The following is a 25587-nucleotide window of genomic DNA, read 5'->3' as shown; positions in this document are numbered from 1 at the left end:
TTACCTTTCAAATTTCTTTCTACATCAACAAGATTTTGGCAATGTGCTTCAGGAGAACTCAGCCCCAGTGTCTCCAAGGCAGCTGGTCAGTTTCTCAGACAGGCCGCCATTCTTTCCAAGGCCTCACGTGAAGAATACAAAATGGGGTTATCAGAGGGGGCAGGAGGGGTGATGAAACTGATTCCAACTCTTAAGTCTTCTGAAATATGGAGGATGGGCTTCCCGAACCCCTCATATCTTTCTTCCTGTTTCATAGAGTATAAGATGACAAGCCCCCAGGTCACCCATATTGTGCTCTCTGTCATTTCCTCAGAGGCCTGATGGATGATTCTGTAGTAAGACCACTGCAGAGACTTCTCTAATCCCAAGGCAGAAAGTAAATAATTAAATGCATGTTTCTATCATTCTTCTTTATTTATATGAGGTTGTGAATAGTGAATTAATAGCTCCAAAGATCCCACTCATAATGAAGTAAAACTGGATAACAATTGATTTGTATCTACTGCTATTGTGCTTAAATCACTATGTTTCTCTATTTGCTTTTCAGTCTCAGACAGGAGTAGTCCAGGAAACATAAAAATAAAAAATTTTAAAATGAGAAGGATTTTTCCCCCCAGTGTCTTTGTTTACAGTACATTTTCACATTGATACATCATTGTGAACAGATTTTGATGGGTTTTCAGAGCCTCCTTCACAATCAGTCCTCTGTCCCCCCAAACAAAGAAAAATGTCACAAACCAATAATACAGTTCAATTCTCATCTAAACCTACTGGGTCAGCAAAATTGAACTGTAAATTTCCCTAAAACTACTTCTTCGGAGATTTCTAGTATTTCTGAATGGGCCAGAAATCAGTGAAAATGGCCTCTCTCTCACCATGTTTTGGCATTTGGACTATAAGAAAAAGAAAAAGACACAGATTTATTGGCACTTTTCCCACCATCCTTCATCAAGTGCACTTGGCTCAGCACCTGATCACATGGGGGCTCTGGGGCTCTGCCTTCACACTTGTGAACCAATAGCAAGCTAAGGGAACTGGGCTTTATTTTCCCCGAGTTCTTACAGCAACAGTGGACAGTGGAGGTAAATATTCCCTCCTAAGAATAGGTGGACAGGAGAGTTACTGTGTCTCTTCTAAGATTTTTCATCCCTTGAGAATCTTACTGGAATCACTTTCATGAAAAGAATAAGTGACCGTGGTTAAGTTGCTCATTGGTATTTACTCTCAAAAGTGCAGACTAGAGAGATGGAGTAGGAGGGAGAATGTTTTCATAGCACATCTATGGACTCCTTCCTCATCCGTACCATAAGGCATGTGGGAAAATGTTTTAGTGTGGGTCACTTGTCTGCAGAACTATGTTACTCTCTCCAAATCACTGTTTCAGCACCTTTCTGTTGGTGCTTTATCTGGAGAAAGAAATTAGGTACCTGCTGAGAGAATGATGGGTTGGGAGGCCACCCTCCAGGAAGTGACATGGGTGCCCAATTTCCAGGGCTTCTCCAAGCATCTAGTTGAGTCCACAGGTGGGTGGAGGATTGGAGAAAGAGCTTATGCTTACATACTTTGCCTGGAAGGCACTGCTGTACTAACAGTCGAAGCCTTGGCAGGGCGTCTTAGAAAATTACTAGAAATCTCTCCAAAAAGTGGGAGGGAGTGGGGGCCCACACATAGACTGGTATCTGGGCCTTGTTTGCCTGCACCTATAGGATACTCTTTTGGGCCAATCTATTAATGAAGTTTGATTCAAATGTGTGATGAGAGAATTTTACAAGTTGAGTTCAACTGATATTTAATTGCCATCATACAACAGTGAAAAAGAGAAAAAATCACTTTTATTTTATTAAAATACAATGTGAGTGTTGTTCAAATATTTAAGTGTCCATGCTTTTGTACACATGCATATGCTAGTCTATTGCTTGAGAAAATAACTACCTGCATAAATGTATATGATTGGGCAACTTGTAATATGTGTTTCACAAAGTAGAAATGAAATCACTGCATCATTTCAAATATTTGAACAACATATGTTGATGTGTAAAGTGTGGTAGAAAAATGGGCTATTTTTACAGAAGTCCAAAAATGTTGCAGTGATTATATGTGTTGCTAGTTTCCATTTATTTTATAATATTATATGGTAAGTTTTGGTCTTCACATAAACTTTTTTCCTTGTTCATTTTGAGGGAGAAAGAGCAAGTGCAAGGAATTCCCATTTTTAGCACCATGACTAACTAATTCAAAGCAGCTTAAAATGCTGGAAAATATATAAGACATCTTTTTAAATACATATTTGACGAATAAGGCCTAAAGGAAAGAAAGCATATCTCAGAAGTCAAATAAAGATATTAAAAACCACATTATAAAGAGGAACTTGATAATTTTGCTGGAATAGGGGTGAAAGCAAAGCAAACTCAGGAACAAAGGGACTTGGGTTTTAGTCGCCAATCCTGTCAAGAGAAAAGGTCTTGAGACTGGTCAAAGTAAAGTAAGAACCAAAAATCCTCCCTACAAAGCCAAGACTGAAGAGCTATATTCTCAAGGAAAAGGTGAACTATATATTTTTTAAAAACATACCAGCACAAGAAATTATAAACAAGATTGCCTGTCTTTACCTGGACTTTGGGTGCAAAAACAATGACCACAAACTCCTCCGAGTAACCACAGGTCTGCCCTCACATGAGTGTAAGGTTTGTTTGAACAACTGTCATAGCTTCTTCCAAACCATAGTGTCCCTCTCCAACATAAAAGCCTCTCAAATTTGAATCTAAAATCATTACATTATTCCACATGCACTCATTTCTTTTTCAAGTCATATATACGTCCTTGGATTTTTTCAGGATTCCTTAAAGATTTTAGCTAGCAGCTTGTTTTCACTTTCTCTAACCCTGTCAACCCTGCCCCAATCATAATTCTTTATGACTTCAAATGAAACATAGATAATCTTCAGTGCAACTGCAGCAATATAATTCCTTGGTGTTCTGTCCTTCAATGATCTTTTTCTTTCACCCAAGCTCAGCTGCACCATCCTGTGTTCTTACCGTATGCCATCTTGGTGGTGAATGAATAAATGAGTAAACACTCCAGAATCAACACAAAGAATTTCAAATGTAACTTAGTTCATAGTTACACTAACTCAGTATCATTTAGATTAATCTATAAATTCAATGCAATTCAAAATAAATTTCCAATAAGGTTTGTCATGTAATTTGACCACCTATAAGCCAAGAATGGTCATGACGCTATCATGACATGAATCCTGGAAATTTTGAAAAACAACAAATCAGAAGATTAGGTTTAATCAAATATCAAATTATTATAAGACTAATAATTAAGACAATGTGGAATCAGCACAGTTATACACAAATAGACTAACGAAGAAGAATAGAGAACTTAGAACCAGACTCACATGTATAAGCAAGCTTGATATATGAAAAGGGTGACAATACAGATCAGTGAAAAAATTCAACAAAACATGCTGAGACATTTGCTTATCCACATATAAAATGGACTCCTTTATTATACAATGATTATTTATAAAACTCTAATTGTAAAATGCAAATTTGTACATGAAATATTAGAGAATATCTTAATATGCTGAGACTACAGAAGGAAATTGTCCCATTTCTTTTTCCTCTAAATTTCTCCACCTATTGCCAGCAAATTAGTTATCTTTGAGCACCACTGTTATTATCAAGCAAACTTTCTAGGTTCTTAGCTCCAGACTCCTCTGCCTTCTCCCCTCACTCATTTTCTACAAAGACCAGTTTATGTATATACTTTACAGCAGAGAAACCTGACAAACACTAACTCAGTCAGGTAATCAAGGGAACATCAACACTGACAGCTCATGTTGCTCATATGTACCCTTGATATGATGCACTGAAAATGGCACTTTACCTCTGTGACCTTCATCTCCAAAACACATAACCCCAGTCTAATCATTACAAAAATCATCAGACAAATCCTAATTGAGGGCCATTCAACAAAATACCTGACCAATACTCTATAAAATTATCAAGATTATTAAAAACAAGGAAAGTCTGAGAAACTGGTAAAGCCAAGAGGTCTCTAGGAGACATGACAACCGAATGTAATTTGGTACTCTGGATGGAATCCTGAAACAGAAGGGCAGAAGTTTAACCCGAAACAGAAAAAGGACAGAAGTTTAAAAGAAATAAAGTAGGGGCTTTAATCAATAATAATGTGTCAATATCGGATCATTAATTGTGACAAACATACCATATTAATGTAAGACATTAACAATATCAGAAACTGGTGAGGTATAAGGGAACTCTATTATAATCTTCACAATTTTTTCTGTAAATCTGAAACTATTCTAAAATGCAAGGTCTATTTAAAATAAACAAACAAACAAACAAACCCTCCAAGGTGATCATTGAATGTCTTGACAAAGGACCTGGAGAGAGGTCTCTGGGATCAGGTACAGCTCAAATGTCAAGCTCTCAGTGAGAATTTCCCTGATGATTTGATCTAACACAGTCTCCATAGTTACTGGTTGCCACCGTATCTCATTTTCTTCTCTTCTCAGAACTTAGCACTGCCTGAAAACCTTGTTTATTTACTTTTCTCATATATCCTGTCTTGTAAAGCAGAACGTAAGTTCCATAAAATGAGGTCACTTGTCTGATGGAGGTTTAATCCCGTAGTTTGAAGAGTGTCTGACACTTAGTAGCTATCCATTAGATATTAGTTGGATAAATGAACTCTAAAATCATTTGAAATATTAAATTACATGCCCACACAAGTTGAAACCAAACCACCAACCATTTCATCCTATGAGAGTTACCCTCTAGCAAGCACTTACCCATCCAGGAATATTGACTCCCAGCCACATATTTATTGTCATAGAACTTTAAACGTGGCCATGTCCTAAAATATCATGAAGTTTAGGATTCACATTTTGTAAATGGGATGTATAAATGAAAAATTGTGGACTTAAAAGTCTTTGACTTTAAATACATGAATACACTATAATTTAACTAATGACAAGACTTATGGAATTCAAAGTATGTTACTAACCATGAATTAAAGGGGAGAGAAAGGTGTTTATGCACTATTTATATTTCAGTGTCCACATCAGTATCATACACAAAGAATAGGGTGGGTCAAGTCCTACAAGATTAAACTACACAAACTCGCTAAGCTCAGTTATATGATTCCCTATATTTCCTGATAGTGGGAAGAAAACTTTATAAATAAAATAATTTAACCACTTAAATTTATAAACAGTTTTGTTATTGGAAATCGTGTTTGTGCACTTAAAGTATAAAATGTGTTCTATAAGAATTAAATTTTTTCATTTAAGCTTTGAAATGAATTCCCTAGCCTTGGGTTAATTTATTTCTACTCTACATACCAAATAGATTCTCTTGCTAGCAAAAAGAAGCAAGCAAGCAACAAACAAACAAAATGCAGACCACTAGGTCTGGTTCTCTCCTTGCAGATTTGCAAACTACAACAAATTCAAGTCCAGACATAACATTGACTCTTATTTTTCTTTTTTCAAAAGGAGAAAAATAATATCCTCAATATTTATTGAAGGCTATGAGCCAGCCACTGTTCTAAACACTTTATTGGTATTATTTAATTTACTCTTCACAGCTGCACTATGGAGTAGATTCTGTAAATTTCCTATTTAATAGGTAAGTAAATTAAGGCACAGAAAGTATAAGTAACTTGTTCCAAGTCACACATCTATTAAGTGGTAGAATGACTTCAGAACCAAACATTCTAATTCTAGAGAATAAGTGCTTAACCAGTATGTGAATAACTTCTTTGGGCCTAGTACTACTTCTGTGATGAGAAAGCTACATGAGACAAAAATAGTCTTGTTAAGGTTTAAATGTGACCTTCCTTGTTTTCCCTCCACAAGTAAGCATGTCTCTCATCAATATAACTCTGAATGTATATCAACTTGATGAACAAAAGATAGTAGTGTTATAAACATGGATGGAAATGAGTAATTTACTACTGACAAATTTCTGTTGATCAGTCAAGATATTTTAAAAGAGATGTCTTCTTCCTCCCATTCATCTTATGAAGTATCGCCATATTAATTGTCTTATGGCACAATTAATCAGATCATTACCCTATTCAAATGGTACAGCTCCCTCAACTTGTTGAAAGACTATTGAACAGAGTGCAGGCTTCTTAGCTTAGGATCCACTAATCATCTACTTGCAAATTATATTATAGGTAAACCAAACTGGTTGTCACTCTCCAAACCTGCTATATACTGAATACTAGTACACTAGTTTTATTTATTAGAGCACATAATATTATCTATTTTTAATGTTTCAACTTAAAATTTAGATAAAATGCTTTGGATGGTAGATCCCTTAGCAGATTTTTTTTTCTTTTTTTCATCTCATAAGTAATTCACGTTTGTAGTGGAAAAAATAGAAAATGTAAACAAAAAGTACAAAAAAAGAAAGGCATTATTAGGCCTATCACACAAAGGGAATTGCTGGGCACATGTTATTGTATATTTTACACTAGGCATGTATGGTGTATAAATGTGCAAAAACCATAATCACACTACAAATGTGGTTTGTAAACTATCTTTCTCGGATAACACATGAACGTCTCCCCATATTGATAAATACAGATTGACATTATAATGACTGAATATTTCTCCAATCCTTTTCCTAAACATTTAGGAGGCTCACAGTTTCTGACCATTATAAACAACACTGCTATGAACATCCTTGTACATATTTGTTCAAATATTTAAGAAATTTAAGAGAAATAATTTGATGTGGAATGCTGATTGAACATGTATGAACATTTTAACCATATTTGAAACATTGTTAAAACTCTTTGGAAGAACTGCACTAATTTAACACCCACTAACAGGTAAATTGCCCATTTGTTCCTCACTAACACTGAATATTAACTCTAAATGTAATATTTTGGTATTGAATGAAGAGTCTCTTCTGGCTATTTCAATTTTGTCGCAGTTGTTTAGCCAAGTTAATATCACAAGTGCCTCTAATTATGAAGGACAAGACCAACATCAGATCCTTCAGCAATCTTTATACTTAAATCCAGACTTTAATTAACCCTGCTAGAAAAGCCATTTGATTTTTTAAATCAAATAACAACAAAACCAAGCCATGAAGGCTAGCCTTACAGCCCATCTCATTTCAATGAGACCAGCATGGACTCTTTCCTTCCATGTTCTTACACTTCTGTGCTTCTGAGACTTCTTGTTTTACATGACTCTCATCCTTGGAACTTGCTCAGTTGGAGGGAGACCTATGATTAAAAGAAAACTTGGCCCCTCCACCTTGTTGGCTGTGTTCCTTTCCTGATGGTGTCTCTCTACCTACTTTAATGATCTACTCTTAGCAGGTGGGAGAGGGCAAAGCTAAGCCACGCCACTGTGGAATTCAGGGAGCAGGATCTGTCAATATAATTGGCACCCTATCTGTCAGCGGATCTCTTAGGAACTGACAAGTAAGAGACACATAATTACTGGGCACAATTTTCTCCTCGAAAGTAAGATAGGACTTAATAAACATAATATCCACAGGGTACATAGACAAAACCATTCTCCTAGTACATTTCTAAGTATTTTCCTTCCATCTGCCACTCATGCAGCATGTAATAAAGTGACCTCTCAAACAAGGATGAATGATTTATCATGTTCTTCAAGTTTCTGTAAGGTAGAGTTGCCTGTTATAACTATTTCTGAGTGGCAGTCTGAAGTCTAACTTTGGGGCCACTAACTGTGCTCTCAGACTTTGTCTCTTGTCCTTGTGTTTCAAGGCATTTTTGAACTCAACCTTACTCCTAAGCTTCCTAAAACTCTAAAAGGGAAAAAACAACAATAGAAAGTTCTGTGCAGGAAAGAAGTAGGCACCAACACATTTTAGCTATGTCCGTTATATTAAAATAAAAAAAAGTGTTGAAACAAGTAAAGCATTGGAAATTGAAATGCAAACAGGACTAAATGAATGAGATATGAAGCCAGATCTAAGGTCCACTTCCTAGCTACATCATTGTGGAAAAGTTACTTATCTTTACAATGCAATTTCTTCATTTGTGAAAAGAAATGATCACAGACAAACATTAAATAAGAAACTAGGTGGGGAAAAAATTAATCTCTTATAGTCTGTAGTCCTTTATTACAGATTATTTTTGACTTCTGATGGTTGGTTCTGTTCTTCTCTTTAATATTATTTTTTTCTGTAGATTATACATTCACATGGTACAAAATGAAAAAGGTACAAAAGGAAGAGTAGAATGTAAAAATGATCTCTCCCAATCCTAAACTCCAGACTCCCAATTTCTCCATTCTGGATCAACAAATTTTATCACTGTAGTTTACATTGTTACAGAGGTATTTCATGCATATGTAATTAACCCTGAATATATATGGATCTACATATATTTACTCTTTTTTATCTCATATTACGCAAATATTAGGGTACCAATGCACCTGTTTGCACTTTTTAAACAATTAATATGGGAGCCTTTCCATTTAAGACCATGAATAGCTTGCCTCATTCCTTTATATATTGTTGCATAGTGCTCCATTGTAGGATATTCTGATTTAATCATTCCCCATTAACGGATATTTAGATTGTTTCCAAAATTTTGCTGCTTCAGAAAAAATGCCCTGTATAATAAACACACACATATAAAATTTTACATAGGCAAAGCATATATTTAAGATAATTTCTCTCTTTTTTTTTATTTTTTGAGACCGAGTCTTACTCTGTCGCCTAGGCTGGAGTGCAGTGGCACAATCTCGGCTCACTGCAACCTCTGCCTTCCGGGTTCAAGCGATTCTCCTGCCTCAGCCTTCCAAGTAGCTGGGACTACAGGCATGCGCCACCACCCACGGCTAATTTTTTTTTTTTTTTTTTTTTTTTTTTTGAGACAGAGTCTCATTGTGACACCCAGGCTGGAGTTCAGTGGTGCGATCTTGGCTCACTGCAACCTCTGCCTCTCGGGTTCAAGTGATTCTCCTGCCTCAGCCTCCTGAGTAGCTGCAATTACAGGCACGCGCCATAATGCCTGGCTAAATTTTGTATTTTTAGTAGAGATGGGGTTTCACCATGTTGGTCAGGCTGATCTTGAACTCCTGACCTCAGGTGATCCAACCCCCCTCGGCCTCCCAAAGTGCTGGGATTACAGGGGTGAGCCACTGCGCCCGGCCAAGATAATTTCTTAGAGGTGGAATTGCCCACTCAAAGGACATTTTGTTATTTTCTATTTTAATAGCTGTTTTCAAATTGCCCCATTAAAGCAAACTAAATATGGCCTGAGAAGGACTCTGTACTTCTATATTGAGTCCTTGTGGACGAACTGCAACCTAACTTAATAGGTAGACATGATACAAGACCTAACTTAGCAGTGTGCGCCTGTAAAAATAGTTCAGTCTCGGCCAAGCCCAGCAGCCATACTTCAACCAGTCATAGGCTACTGAGTGCTCCAACTGTTCAAATAAGGCAAACGCTGAGCTGTAACCAATCCACTTATTTCTGTACCTCACTTCTGATTTCTGTACCTCACTTCCCTTTTCTTGTCTATAAATTTGTTCTGAACATGAGGTATTCCTGGAGTCTCCCTGAATTTGCTGTGATCCTGGGGGCTGCCCGATTCACAAATCGGTCATTGTTCAATTAAACTCCTTTAAATTTAATTCAGCTGAAGTTTTTCTTTTAACACCCTGCACTGCCACAAAGAGATTACAGCAATTTACATTCTTATCCAAAACGTCTGAGAGTGCCTGCTCCCTCAACCCTTGCCAACAGCAATATGCATGCCAAACCACTATGCAAAATTGGTATCTTTGTATAGTTTGGTTTGTATTTCTCTTATTATGAGTGAAGTTGAGCATCTTCTCATATATTTGAGCCATTTATATATTTTTTCTGTGAACCATCCTTTTATGTCTTTTGCTTATTGTTTTCCTACTAGGTTATTGGAATGTTTTTTTAAAAGAGCAATGTTAAAAATATCAGTCCTTCCAAGTATGTTCTCTTCATTTGTCATTTGTCTTTTGCATTTTTCCTATTATGGGTTTTACATGTAGATGATAGTGGTGCTGCTGCTGCTGATCTAGTTGAGGTCAGCAATCTTTTTCCTTATAGATTGGGGTTTTAGATTGGGGTTTTATTTTTCATATATAAATTTTTACATATATAGTTTATATGCATATTTATCTTACATATACAAAATATTCCTATATATTTACCTACATGCAATTCTTCCATGGTGCCTTCTAAAGACTTGATTTCAGTTTGTTACCTTAAATCTATGATCGATCTGTAAATTTTGTGGTATAAGTTGTGAGGTCGAGATCTTATTTTATTTCTCCAGATGGCTACTCAGCTTAGTACCATTAGCTGAATTCTCCAGGGGTCATTTGACTCCAGCGGTCATTTCTCATTCAGTATCAATACACATAGTTGTAATGTGGAAGTGTAAATGAAATACATGAAAAACACACAACGGTGTATTAAGCAATTGGCTGAGATTTTTGAACCCCAGGAAGTAGACCTGAATTTATCTGACTTGGTTGAATTTATTAAGTAGTTTTGTTTCTCTACATCCATTATCAGCCTCTTCCAATATACAGTCATTTTCTCCATGTCTGCAGGTTCTGCATGGCAGATTCAACCAACTGCAGATCTAAAATATCTGGGAAAAAATGATTAAAAAATAATTCAACATTAAAAACACAAATTCAAAATAATACAATATAACAATTATTTACATAGCATTTTAAATGGCATTAGGTATTAAGCAGTATAGGCCAGGCACAGTGGCTCATGCTTGTAATCCCAGCACTTTGGGAGGCCGAGACACATGGATCATTTGAGGGTAGGAGTTCAGGACCAGCCTGGCCAACATGGTGAAACCTTGTCTCTACTAAAAATACAAAAATTAGCTGAGTGTGGTGGTGCACCCCTGTGATCCCAGCTACTTGGGAGGTTGAGGCAAGAGAATCACTTGAGCCTGGGAGGTAGAGGTTGCAGTGAGCCAAGATTGCACCACTACACTCCAGTCTGGCCAACAGAGTGAGACTGTCAAAAAAAAAAAAAAAAAAAAAAAAAGAAGAAAAAAACCCGAAGGCAATCTAGAGATGATTTAAAATATATGGGAGGGTGTGCATACTTGCATACTTTTATATAAGGGACTTGAACATCCACAGATTTTGGTTTGGAAGGGGAGGTTCTGGAATAAATTCCCTGCTGATATGGAGGGATGACTGTATATATATTTTACACACATTGCCAAATTGATCTTTCTAAAACACAAATAGGATTATGTTTCTATTTAAAATTTGTCAACAGCTCCACAACACAAAGTCTAGATTCTTAATATAGTATTCTCCTTCTTATACAAATGTTCTAGACACTTGTTAGATTATCCCCCAATACTGCATTTTTCAGTTTAAATTTTATCAAACTGAACTATTTACCATATTGTTCCAGGAAGAATATATGCTCCATGAGAGAAAGGACAGAAGCCTCACCTCGCAGGTTTGTATATACGTTAGTCCATTTTCATGCTGCTGATAAAGACATACCTGAGACTAGGCAATTTACAAAAGAAATAGGTTTATTGGACTTACGGTTCCACGTGGCTGGAGCAGCCTCACAATCATGGTAGAAGGTAAGGGGGAGCAAGTCACATCTTATGTGGATGGCAGCAGGCAGAAAAAGAGAGCTTGGACAGGCAACTCCTGTTTTTAAAACCATTAGAGCTCGTGAGACCCATTCACTGTCACGAGAACAGCAAAGGAAAGACCTACCCCCAAAATTCAGTCATCTCCTACTGGGTCCCTCTCACAATACCTGGTAATTATGGGAGCTACAGGGTGAGATTTGGGTGGGGACACAGCACAAAACCATATCATTCAGCCTCTGGCCCCTCCCATATCTCATATCTTCACATTTCAAAACCAATCATGCCTTCCCAACAGTCCCCCAAAGTTTCGACTCATTTCAGCATTAACTCAGAAGTCCATAGTCTAAAGTCTCATCTGAGACAAGGCAAGTCCCTCCTGCCCATGAGCCTGTAAAATCAAAAGCAAGTTAGTTACTTCCTAGACACAATGAGAGTACAGGCATTGGGTAAATACAGCCATTTGATATGGGAGAAACTGGCCAAAGCAGAGGGGCTACAGGCCCCATTTAAGTCCAAAAGCCAGCAGGGCAGTCAAATTTTACAGATACAAAATGATCTTCTTTGACTCCATGTCTCACATCCAGGTCATGCTGATACAACAGGTAGGTCCCCGTAGTCTTGGGCAGATCCATCCCTGTGGCTTTGCAGGGTACAGCCTCCCTTCCAGCTGCCTTCATGGGCTGGTATTGAGCATCTGCAGCATTACCAGGTGCACAGTGCAAGCTGTTGGTGGATCTACCATTCTGGAGTCTGGAGAATGGTGGCCCTCTTCTCACAGCTCCACTAGGCAGTGCCTCAGTGAGGAGTCTGTGTGGGGGTGCCCACTCCACATTTCCCTTCTGCACTGTCCTAGCAGGGGTTCTCCATGAGAGCCCTGCCCCTGTAGCAAACTTCTGCCTGGAAATCCAGGTGTTTCCCTACATCCTCTGAAATCCAGGCAGAGGTTCCCAAACCCCAAATCTTGACTTCCATGCACTGGCAGGCTCAACATGACATGGAAGCCACCAAGGCTTAAGGCTTGCACTCTCTGAACTGATGGCCCAAGCTCTATGTTGGCCACTTTCAGCCATGGCTGGAGTGGCTGGGACACAGGGCACCAAGTGCCTAGGCCACACACAGCACAGGGATCCAGGACCAAGCCCATGAAACCACTTTTTCCTCCTAGGCCTCCAGGCCTGTGATGGGAGGGACTGCCATGAAGACCTCTGAAATGCCTTGGAGACATTTTCCCCATTGTACTGGGGATTAACATTAGGCTCCTCCTCATGCAAATTTCTGCAGTTAGCTTGAATTTCTCCTCAGAAAATGGGATTTTCTTTCCTATTGCATTGCCAGGAGGCAAATTTTCCAAGCTATTATGTTCTGTTTCCTTTTTAAAACTGAATGTCTTTAACAGCACCCAAGTCACCTCTTGAATGTTTTGCTGCTTAGAAATTTCTCCCACCAGATATCCTAAATCATCTCTCTCAAGTTCAAAGTTCCACAAATCTCTAGGGCAGGGCAAAATGCCATCAGTCTCTTTGCTAAAACATAACAAGAGTCACCTTTGCTCCAGTTCCCAACAAGTTCCTCATCTCCATCTGAGACCACCTGAGCCTGGATTTCATTGTCCATATCATTATCAGCATCTTGGTCAAAGCCATTTAACAAGTCTCTAGGAAGTTCCAAACTTTCCCACATTCTCCTTTCTTCTTCTGAGCCCTCCAAATTGTTCCAACGCCTGCCTGTTACCCAGTTCCAAAGTCACTTCCACATTTTCAGGTATCTTTTCAGCAGGTCTCCACTCCCGTTACCAACTTATTGTACTAGTCCATTTTCATGTTCCTGACAAAGACATACCCAAGACTAGGTAACTTACTAAAGAAAGAAGTTTATTGAACTTACAGCTCCATATGGCTGGGGAAGCCTCACGATCATGGCAGAAGGCAATGGAGAGCAAGTCACAGTTTATGTGACTTGGCAGCAGGCAAAAAACAGAGCTTGGGCAGGGCAACTCCTATCTTTAAAACCATCAGATCTTGTGAGACCCATTCACTATCATGAGAACAGCACAGGAAAGATCCGTCCCCATGATTTAATCATCTCCCACCGGGTCCCTCCCACAACACCTGGGAATTATGGGAGTTATAACATGTGGGTGGAAACACAGAGGCAAACCATATCAGTAGGTATTAAAAGACACTTTGTTGAAGTAAAGTTAGTTTTTTTGTAAACAGCTCATCCAATGCCTTCTAGTGAGACTCTCAGAAAAATCTACCTAAGCATTAAGTTCTATAACTGCAGAAAGGAGTTATTAAGCACACCTGCCTCATACCCATCGTAGGAGGAGAATATTGGCTAAAATATGTAGGACCTTGTACTGTTAAAGTATCAGAATTTCCAAAATCATACACAGAGACTAAAAAGGAAAGGCTTGTCCTTTAGATTTAAACTTTTAATATAGCATACTTAGAGTGATAACATTTCTCTGTCTCCCAGTGTTGTACAACACTAACCAGAAAATTACATTCAGATAAGATAGATATGCAAATATCCTCAAATAGACATTATCAGTATCCCAACAGTTTGCTGAATAACCACAGAAATGTAGCAACTACACATCAGATGTTCTGCACTTAAAATCTGCACTTAACTTTCCAGATTGCTGCTTCCAGGCAATCTCCAAAGGACGGTACCTTGTATTCTGTCCGTAGGTTAGCCAGATATCATTCTTTCCTTAGAAGCGGTGAGGAATATAGAAACATTTCATCTTTTTTTTTTAATCTGTGAACAGTTTTAACTGAATGACAGGATACCACGGAAACCCATTGCTCTAGGACAGATGGCCACATGGTCTCTGCCAGCACACCCGAGAGCACATGTTATTGCCAAGGAACACAGGCTGCAGGGGAAGTTCATGTGCTGTGTTTCCAGCGACTCCTGCTCAAAGAGCTGTCACCTTTTTGGTCTATGTCTCAGTTTCCATTCTAGCCACAGCTGCCGGTTAGTGAATTCACAATTCATCAAATTCACTTGATATTCACCTCCTCCTAGTAAGATAGAAAATGCTCCAATGATTGAACTAATAGTCTGTGTTTATTTCAATTGCCACCTGGCATCAGACTCAACTGACATATGCGGGAAAACCACCAAGCCAGAGGGGCTCCACGCAAGCTTGATTTTTGCCATTACAAAAACATAAAGTCAAATCATGGGCTTTCTAGAGGGAAAAGGGCAAGCGGGAAAGAAGATGTGCAAAATTGTTGTGCTGCCTTCTTCATAATTACTGTTGATCTTTTACCTTTAAAACGATGCTAAAATACAAAGCTTAAATCCTCCATTTTTAGACGTTAACTCTTCATTTTTATCAGATTACATTATTCCCCTGGTTAAAACTCTTCAATAATTTCCCACTGGAATTAGAATAAAATGCAAAATCCTCACTGTGACTGCATTTCTCTAAATGGTTGACTTCATTTTGAGCTCTTCTTCCTGTTTTCTATATCACAGCAACGCTGGTTTTCTTTCTTTTGCTTGAATATTCTAGGGCATTTGCTGTTCCCTCTGCTTCCAGCACCTGCTCCTTGCCCTTCTGTAATTTTTCTTACAACTCAGGACTCAGATCAAATTTAATTTGATCTTTCTTTGATGACCCTGTCTAAAACCATTTTTGTCCTCAGCCCCTAGTTGGTCTCCATCTCTTTTTTCATATTTCATGTCACTAATGGCACTGGTCTGTCTCTCTCTTACACTCACACTCACACACAAACACACACACACACTCTCACATGAATGTAAGCTATACAAAAGCAAAAACCTGTCTTTCTTTTTAATAACAGCAATAGGCAGATAGTGGGCATTCAATAAATATCAAATTAAGTCAATGCACCCAGTAACAAATTTTAATATTCCCTTTAAACAAACATTATTTCCAATAAATGGAAATGGATAAGCACAGGATAATGATATGTTTGAGAAGAAGTGAACTGCTAGGTACACAAACACAGATCCTGATGGAGGAAGCTAAAGCAGCCACGGTAGTGCTGGGCCAAGGGGCTCCCTTCCCTTTTCACCTTTTTTGCACTCCCTTTTGGAAAGCTCATAACCAAAGGCATTTGTGAGAATGAAAATGCAACACCTGAATTACAAAACTTATTTTTAAAATATTTTAAAATATTTTTAAGATATTAAAACTTAATTTTAAAATATGTCAGAATGGCATTGCTTTAAGAGTAAATAAAAACAATATGTATTTCAAAACTCTGGAGACATTTCTATTCTAATAACAATCATATTATGTTCCCATTGTAAAGCATTTCAAACCATAACCACTATTTTCAGTTCTAGGGGTGAAAATAGAGTTCTGTTCTTTCTAATGTTTCTGGTTTCCATGATTTCAAAAGTGGATTTGTTTTTTCTCAAATTAAATGTAACAGGTCAGTGAGCCTTTAATGTAGTCCTGGAGATGCCAGAAAGAAAATAGAAATAGACACGTTATTAATGGCTGAAAATTAGTTCACTCTATCTGCTTGAGAAACTTCTCTCACACTTCAAACACTCAAACCCATCTTCACATCAGGGTGATAAACCATGGAGTGATTGCTGAAAACATTAGGAAACATCACATCAACAAGCAGTCCATTGAAGAAGCCACCACAATATTCTCAGTGGGTCCCTGATGATTTCTCTCTGCAATGGGGATGGTTAGTTTTAAATAACACAGCATTCTATCTTCCTTCCTCTCATATGTGTGTCTATGTATTGATGATGACCTCTTGGTACACACATGAATAAGGACTCAAATAGATGGCAGAGTAAATCACCAACAGAGTGCTAGATGTGAAATTGGGAGACACAGGTTCAAATTTGGCTCTACTAATGATTAGATGAGTGGCCCAGAGCAAGTGATCTAACTGCGCTAAAACTAGCTTGTTTCTGCAGATATATATTATGAAGAGTTCTAAAGAGAATAAAATAAAAGTAAACTACCTAACATACAGTCTAGTAAATATATTGTCAACAAGAGGCTCCTTTCTGTTTTTCCCCCTTTCTTCTTTCCATTTCTTCTTCAAAAGCAAAATAGATTCTATGGAATTAATGTAAAATTGGGGATTTAAAACAATATGTGGAAAACCAATAGAATTTTAGAAATTGGTGTTGAACAGTTAGGGCTATACTTCTTATAATTCAATTACCTGCTTTTACCTAAGTAAAAAATAAATGTCATATTTTAAAACTATAGTTATTTTTTCTTACTTTTTTGTTTGTTTTTGAGGCAGTCTCACTCTATTGCCCAGGCTGGAGTGCAATGGCACCATCTCGGCTCACTGCAATCTCCGCTCCTCAGTTAAAGCGATTCTCCTGCCTCAGCCTCCCGAGTAGCTGGGACCACAGGCGCCCGCCTCCATGCCAGGCTAATTTTTGTAGTTTTAGCAGAGACAGGGTTTCACCATGTTGGTCACGGTGGTCTTGAACTCCTGCCTTCAGGTGATCTACCCGCCTCAGTCTCCAAAGTGCTGGGATTACAGGCATGAGCCACTGTACCCAGCATGCATGCATTTATTGATTGATTGATTGAAACAGTCGCCCAAGCTGGAGTACAGTGGTGTGATCTTGGCTCACTGCAACCTCCGCCTCCTGGGTTCAAGTGATTCTCTTGCCTCAACCTCCCGAGTAGCTGGGATTACAGGCATGTGCCACAAAGCCTGGCTAATTTTGTATTTGTAGTAGTGATGAGGTTTCGCCATGTTGGCCAGGCTTGTCTCAAACTCCTTATCTCAGGTGATCCACCTGCCTCGGCCTCCCAAAGTGCTAGGATTACAGGCATGAGCCACCATGCCCAGCCTTTTCTCACTTTTTGCTACATTTTTTTCTTATAGTACATTTCCAATGAGTATAAATGGGAATTTTTTCCAAAACTGTGATAATATTTATTTTTGGCCCTTCAGCCAATTGAGGTCACAATGAAAAGATGGTTGTCCATGAACTAGTGAATAGGCCCTCACCAGACACTAAATTTGTTTGCACTATGATCTTGGACTTCCCAGCTCTAGGACTATGAAAAACAAAAATCTGTTGTTTATAAGCAAAAAAATAAATTAATTAAAAAAATTGAATTCTCTATGTATTTTTACCTTGCATTATTTCAGCACATACTGAAAAAACATGACTGTAGGGCCCAAGCTCTTTCACAACCTGGAGACTATAAGGTCCCTGTTCTTAACTAGATTCTGGTCCAGTGGTAAAAAGGATACGTAGATCAACAGTTGCATTGCAATGAGGTGAACATTATAAATAAAAGTATGAAACAGTGATATTGAAACACATAGAGCATGTAACTTTGGTCAAGTGCAGAGGGGAAGATTTAGAAAAGCTTCCTGAGATGGAATGACTTTTGAGTTAGGGTTGGAAGATGGAAATAAGCATCTAAAGCTCAGAAGAAAGGTAGAAGTTTGAAATATGTACTTGAAGTCCTCAGTGTTCTAGAGGCAAGAGTATGGATAAGGTTGCTCAAGATCAGTGTGTAGAAAGAGAAGAAAAATAACCCCAGGTTAGATTATTAGTTTATTAGGCAACTTTTCCTGTTGTAACAAATAACTCTAAGATACCTGTACCTCACAGAAAAAGGCACTTATTTCTTGTTTACTCATTTTGTAATGAAGCCTGTGGTTGACCTGAGCTCTGTTGGTTATTACTGGGCTGGGCTGGTCTTGGTTGGGCCCCACGTTTTTTGGGTTTTGTTTTGTTTTTTGTTTGTTTGTTTATTTTTTTGAGACAGAGTCTCACTCCGTTGCCCAGGCTGGAGTGCAGTGGCACAATCTCAGCTCACTGCAACCTCCGCCTCTCGGGCTCAAGCAATTCTCTTGCCTCAGCCTCCCAAGTAGCTGGGATTATAGGCGCCCACCACTGTGCCCGGCTAATTTTTGTATTTTTAGTAGAGGTGGAATTTTACCATGTTAGCTAGGCTGGTCATCAACTCCTGACCTCAGGTGATCTGCTCGCCTTGGCCTCCCAAAGTGCTGGGATTACAGGCGTGAGCCACTACGCCCAGCCCCCAGTGTATTTTCTCATTTTAGCACCCAGAGTAAAGAAGAATCCATAATCTTAAAAAGGCAAGGTTAGAAGGAAGACAGAGTGAAATAACACAAACACAGTTAATCTTCTGTTCAGATGTGGCAAATGTCACACAGGTATGTCACATGCTGAAAGTCACGGGGGCAGAGGCTAGTGAACACAAATAAGCAGGACAGTCACATGCAATGGGTGAAAATATAAAATCCTGTAAACACTGGAATTTTTACAGGATTAATTGGAGAATCACTGGAAACAATAACTCTTTTAAAAACGTTTTTGAATCTACCTTTACTTATGCTTATTTTCATTTCTGAAATTTTCCTTTTTATTTTTGTTTATTAACAATTCTGATTAGCCTGGACAGTGAGCATAGTGCTTTCAATCTACTTTAAAAAAAATGGAGGCATAATATTTGTGCATACTTACAGGGTGCATGTGATATTTGTTACATTCATAGAACATGTAATGATCATGTCAGGGTACTTAAGATATCCATCATCTTGAGCATTTATCATTTCTACTTGTCGGGAACATTTCAAGTTCTCTATTCTATTTTGAAATATGTGAAACGTTGTTAACTATAGTCACCCTACTCTGTTATTGAACATTAGAACTTATTTCTTATATCTAACTGTATCTTTGTACCCATTAGCCAAACTCTTTATCTCCACAACACACACTCCCTTTCGAGCCTCTGGTAACTAACATTCTACTCTCTGCCTCCCACAGACCAACTTTTTTAGTTCCCATACAGGAGTGAGAACAAGTGATGTTTATCTTCCTGTGCTTTGTCTATTTCACTTAACATAATGACCTTCAGTTCTATTCACGTTGCTGCAAATGACAGGCTTTCATTCTTTTTTATGACAGAATAGTATTTCATTGGGTATATATACCATATTTCATTGATGTATTCATTCATTAATGGACACTTAGGTTGATTTCATAGCTTTGCTATTGTGAATCATGCTGCAACAAACATAGAGGTGCAGATATTCCTTTGATATACTGATTTTCTTTCCTTTGGAAAGAAAATTGAGTTGGCATTGCCAACTCATACGGTAGTTCAATTTTTAATTATTTGAAAAATCTCAATACCAATTTCCACAATGTCTGTGGTAATTTACCTTCTCAATAAAAGTATATAAAGTTCTTTTCTCCATATCCATGCCAGCATCTATCACCAATCTACTTTTTAGTGTCTCATCCTGAAATATCAGCAGACAACCAAGAATCATCAGACACTGAAGTCTAACACACTTTTTAAAAAAACAAACACAAATAAGAAAAAAAGGAACTCAAAGGAAATAAAATGCCAATATTAGAAAATTAAAAAAATATATTCAAAGAGAAGATACCCTATTTACGTAAGAACGGGTGCTTTACAGAAAAGAAAAAAAAATCAGAAGAAAAAAAGAGCTCTTAAGAACAAGTGTTCTGTAAATATTTGCTGAAATAATCTGACGGTAAAAGCACATATTAAACTCAAAAATAAATATTATCACTGCTTTGAAAAAATTATCATGTACACATATTGGAAAATAATAGAAACTCAAGAATAGATGGATTTACCTCAACTTGATAAAATATGTCTAGAAAAAAACTTGCAACTAAAATTATATGTAATGGATAAAGACTAAATGCTTTCCCTCTAAGTCTTGAAACAAGGCAAGGATGTCCACTCTCATCACTCTTAACAGTGGTAAGAAGTTATAGCCAGTACAATAAAGAAACATAGAGAATAAAATCATATATATAAGAAAGCAAGAAGTAAAATGGTTTGTCTTCTACATGACATGTTTGTTTATGTAGAAAATTTTAAGGAATCTATGAAAATATTCCACGACTAATAAGTGAGTTCCACAAGGTAACAAAATATATGACAGAAAAATCAACTTTATTCCTATATACTATCAGTAACCAAATACATAAGACAGAAAAATCAACTTTATTCCTGTATACTATCAGAGAACACATAAACTCTGATATTAAATATACAATACTATTTAAAATCTCTCAAAAAATTGATTTGGGTGTAAATCTAAGATAACATTTACAGGGTTTACATGCTTAAAACCACAAAATACTTATAAAATAAAGTAAAATCTAAATAAATGGAGATACATGCCATTTTCATCAATTGGAAGACTCAACACAGTAAAGATGTCAAATTTCCTGGAGTTGACCAAGATCAAAGCAACATTTTTTGTCTACATAGACATTATTATAAATTTACATGTATGAAAGGCCAAAAAAAACTAGAATATCTGAAACAAGATCGAAAAATAAAAATAAAATGTGAGGAATCTGTCTACTTAATTTCAAGACTTATATTGTATAGCTACAGTGATCAGACTGTGGCATTGGCAGGGGAGTAGACACATAGATCAATTGAATGCAGGAATAGATCCACACAATTGCTGAACTGAATTTTTGACAAAAGTAAAATAGCAATTCAATTTAGGAAAGATAGTCTTTTCAGTAAATGGTGCTGCAGCAATTGGACCTCTATTGGTGGGGACAAATATTTGACCATTGTATACTGTTGGTTGATGGTATTATTGAATTGATCCATGTCATTAGGGATTTTCTGTGTAACCATTCTATCAATTGAGGGAGTGTAATTATAGACTTCTCTTTTTTTTTCAGGTCTATCAATTTTTTCTTCACATATTTTGTAGCTCTGTTGTTGCAGGATTGTTATGTCTTCACGGTGGGTTGACCCTTTAAACATTATATAATGTCCCTCTATGTCTCCAGTCATTTTCTTTGTGCTGAAGACTGCTCTGTCTGATATTAATATAGATTAATATCATTCCTACTTTTTGTTTGCATAATTCTTTTTTCATTTTTTTCTTTCAACCTGTGTATACCATTATATTTGAGGTGAGTTTCCCACAGTCAGCGTATAGTTGGGTCATATTTTATAATGCACTATGTTTTTTAATTGGTATAGACTATTTAAATTTAATGTAATTGTTGACTTGTTAGGGCTTACATCTGAAATTTTAATTTTGTTTTCTGTTTGTTCTGTCTAGTTTTTGTTTCTCTCTTTAATTTTTCCTGCTTTCCTATAGGCTACTTGAAAATGTATCATGGTATTTGAGAGATGCTCTTTGTATAGCTTTTTGATGATTACTCTGGGTATTACCTTATGCATACATAACTTATCACACTCTATTGGTGTCACAATTTCACCAGTTTGAGTGAAGTATAAAAAGCTGTCCCTGATTTACACTCCTTTACTCTACCTAAATGTTTCTCCACATACATTTATAACCACATCAACCAGTGTTATAATTTTCACTTCAAGCATCAATCACCAAGAAAATTCAAGAGGAGAAGGAAAATGTATTTATTCATATATTTACTGTTTCTATTGTTCTTTTCTCATCTTGATCTTCCTATCTTCTTTCTTTTACTACTTTCCTTCCTTTTCAGAGAATTTCTCTTAGCCATTCTTTTTAGGTGAGGTCTGCTGGTGACAAAATTTCTTAGTTTCCCTTCACATGAGAATGGCTTTATTTTTCTGTCATTTCTGAAGGATATTTTCACTGGATATAGGATTCTGGGTTGACAGTCCTTTACTTTCAGCACTTGAAAAGTGTCACACTACTACTTTCTGGCCTCTGTGGTTTCTAAGAGAAATAGGATAGGTTGTCACTTGAATGTTTTCCCCCCAGATAAGTAAGGTGTATTTTCTCTCTAACCATTGTTTTTAAGATTTTTTTTCTTTGTATTTAGTTTTCTGAAGTTTGACTATGATGTAAATTTATTTGGGTTTATCCTGTTAGGGATTTGCTTAGTTTTTTGACTCTGTAGATTAATATCTTTTGCCACATTTGAGAAGTTTTTAGACATCATTTCTTTGAGTACTTTTCAACCCCAACTGTTTCTCCTCTCATTTCAGGGGTCTGACAGAAAAAAATGTTAGATCTTTTGTTATACTCCCATAGGTACCTGAGGCTGTGTTGTGGTGTGTTTTTTTTCCAGTCTATTTTCTCTCTGTTGTTCAGATGAGATTATTTCTGTTGTTCCATCTTCCAGTTCACTAGTTCTTTCCTCCATTCTGCTGCTGAGCACGTCCACTGGTTTTTTCTTTTTAGGTATTATATTTTTAGTACTAAAATTGTCATTAGGTTATTTTTTATATTTCCTTTGTTTGCTGAGGCTTTCATATTTTTCACTTATTTCAAGTGTATCTGTATTTGCTTGTAATGCATCTTTTATGATGGCTACTTTAAAATCTTTGCCAGATAATTCTAACATATTTTTCATCTCTGTGTTGGCATTCTTTGTTTTTGGTTTGGTCAGTTTGAAATCTTTCTGTTTTTGATATAACAACTGATTTTTTTAAATTGAAATCTGGAACTTTGGGGTACTATGTAATGAAACTGTGAGTCTTACAAACCTTCTGTTTTATCTTGCTTTCTCTGACATGGCTCTGATAAATAAGTGGTAGGCACTGCCTCACTACTGTCAGGTGCTTGCAGAAGTCCGGATTTCCTACTCAGCTTCCATTGACATGGGACAGAGGTGAGCACTTTGTTCAGGGTTACTGCTTGATAGAGTGGGAGTTCTAGTTCCTCAGGAGGCTTCCACTGCATGATAGTGAGGAGGATGACCTTAATACTATTTTGTGGTGTTAAAAACCCAGATTCTCCAGTAGTTCTTTCTGACATAATCCCAACAGTGACTGGGAGGGATACCTCATTACTGCTGGCAGTGGGGGGAATTTAGTTTCCCCATTTGGGCTCCACTGACGTTATAAAAAGATGAGGGCTTATTAACATCCACTGAGGATAAAAGCCCCAACTCAGACTTCTCTAATACAACCCAGATGAGTGATTGGGGCACCTCAGTTTACCCTGGTGAGACCTCAGTTTACCCTGGTGAGGATGGAAGTCTAGATCCTCATGAGCCCTTTACAGGTGGGGTAGGGGTATAGACAGTTTTACTATGTGGTGTTTGTTAGAGTAGAGTTGCTATTGTCCAAAAGTTTTCTATATTACTAGTCTCCCCCTTTCTTCATCCTTTGACTGTATAAAGCAAGCTTTTGTTGGAGCTTTTATTTGTCTGTAATCATTGATATTTGCAGGTTGCTGATTTCTTCAGACTTAAGTCTGGGATACAGAAGGTGAAAAGAAAGGAATCCTAGGGAATTTACCACCAAGTAATTCCTCAAGTTCCAAAGGACCCTAGCTCATCTGCTTTCTTCTCTTTACCTTTCAGAATTGTACTATGACACAATCCAGAGTGTTTAGTCCATACTTAGGTAGAAGAAGGAAAGTACGTTGTATTAGTTTGTTTTCATGCTGCTGATAAAGACATACCCGAGACTGGGTAATTTATAAGGAAAAAGAGGTTTACAAGACTCACAGTTCCACATGGCTGAGAAGACCTCACCATCATGGTGGAAGGCGAAAGGCATGTCTTACATGGCAGCAGGCAAGAGAGAAATGAGAGCCAAGTGAAAGGGGTTTCCCCTTATAAAACCCTCAGATCTCGTGAGACTGATTCACTACCATGAGAACACTATGAGGGAAACTGCCCCTATGATTCAATTATCTCCCACCGGGTCCCTCCTACAACATGTGGGAATTATGGGAGCTACAATTCAAGATGAGATTTGGGTGGGGATACAGCTAAACCATATCATACATCTACTCCACCTTTTCAGAAGTAGAAGTCTCTGTTGAGTTTTTAATTTCAGTTATTTTTATTTTTCTCCTCCAACAATTTTTATTCATTTTCTCTAATTGTTAATATCTATTCCATTGTTGCATCTGTTTATCTGTCTTATCTTTATACCTTTTTTTAACCTGCACTTTGTATCTGCTGATGTCCTTCCATTATAGTTCATTTCCTCCTATGACTTGTAATTTTTGAATGAGTTTTTATCTTCAACTTGAATGTATTTTTTCCTGTGTGTGTCCCTTGCCTTCTGTATTGTGGAAGCCCTAAAGAGCTGTTTTGTTTTGCTTTTATTGGGCACCTCTGAAAATTCACTTGTCCAGGATCAGCATTTACATTTCTAATTTATCAGCTTAGAATTCATGCCTGTATACAGAATGTGAATTGGTATTCCATACCTAGGCATGGCATAAGCTTTCAGTTTCAGTTCTTAATTGGATTTTTTTTTCCCAAAGCATAAAGGAAAGACATGCTTCCTTGTTAATTCTTAGTATTTACGGTGTTTTCTTACCTCTTTGACAAACTGGGCAGCTCTTACAGGGTCTCAGCTTTTTGCTGGTGTCTGGTTTCAGCAAGCAGCCTCACAGCAGTGCCCACTCTCCTCTATATCCCCCTCCTCCATAGCCATATATCTTACTCTGAGTGGACATTAAAATCTCAGCCACTATTCGCTAAGACCTATATCTATTTGCATGCCTTCAGGTCCAACTTGATATCTCTTATTAATCTGGGTATAAATTATTTCTGGTACCTCAGAATTGCAGTAATGTGTGCTGAAGCCAGCTTGTATAGGCTGGCAAGAGTTAATGGTTAAATGTTCAGAAATTTATGAGCTACTATGAACATGCTGATTAAAACATGGATATATAAATGTTTTTCATGTTGGAGGTTCTGTGTTAGTTCAGAATGTCATGATGGTGAAATTAGAATTTTGTCATTGATTTAACAAAACCAGAAATTACTTAGAAAATGATTTTACTTTTCATTCAGAGCAATACCCTTCCACCCACCCACCTACCCCATCCCCAACCCCATTTAAGAGATGAGATAACTAAGGCTCACTGAGATCAAATGGCAAGAGACCATGTGAGGGCTTTCCCCACTCCTTATGGCAGAACTGCTCTGTTTCATCCTGTGTCCTGCCTATGCTTGTTTTGCTGAAAGATTATTTCCCCA

At 37.4% G+C, this 25587-nt stretch overlaps 2 long non-coding RNA genes across 6 annotated transcripts in view; one reads left to right on the top strand and one right to left on the bottom strand.

The window, feature by feature from the left end:
* The window catches only part of LOC105379364 (uncharacterized), a 535736-nt gene that overhangs the window by 87995 nt on the left and 422154 nt on the right, over positions 1-25587 (bottom strand). The window lies entirely within an intron of this gene.
* LOC105379366 (uncharacterized) overlaps positions 1-25587 on the top strand; it is a 38081-nt gene that overhangs the window by 5113 nt on the left and 7381 nt on the right. The window contains exon 3 of the long non-coding RNA XR_001745705.1: positions 11469-11516. This is a non-coding gene — a long non-coding RNA (uncharacterized LOC105379366). The remainder of the gene's footprint in view (positions 1-11468; positions 11517-25587) is intronic.

This window comes from Homo sapiens, chromosome 8 (assembly GCF_000001405.40).
Source record: "Homo sapiens chromosome 8, GRCh38.p14 Primary Assembly".
Classification (NCBI taxonomy): Eukaryota; Metazoa; Chordata; class Mammalia; order Primates; family Hominidae; genus Homo; species Homo sapiens.
Note: the sequence above shows the minus strand (reverse complement) of the source record. Positions and strands in the feature narration are given on the sequence as shown.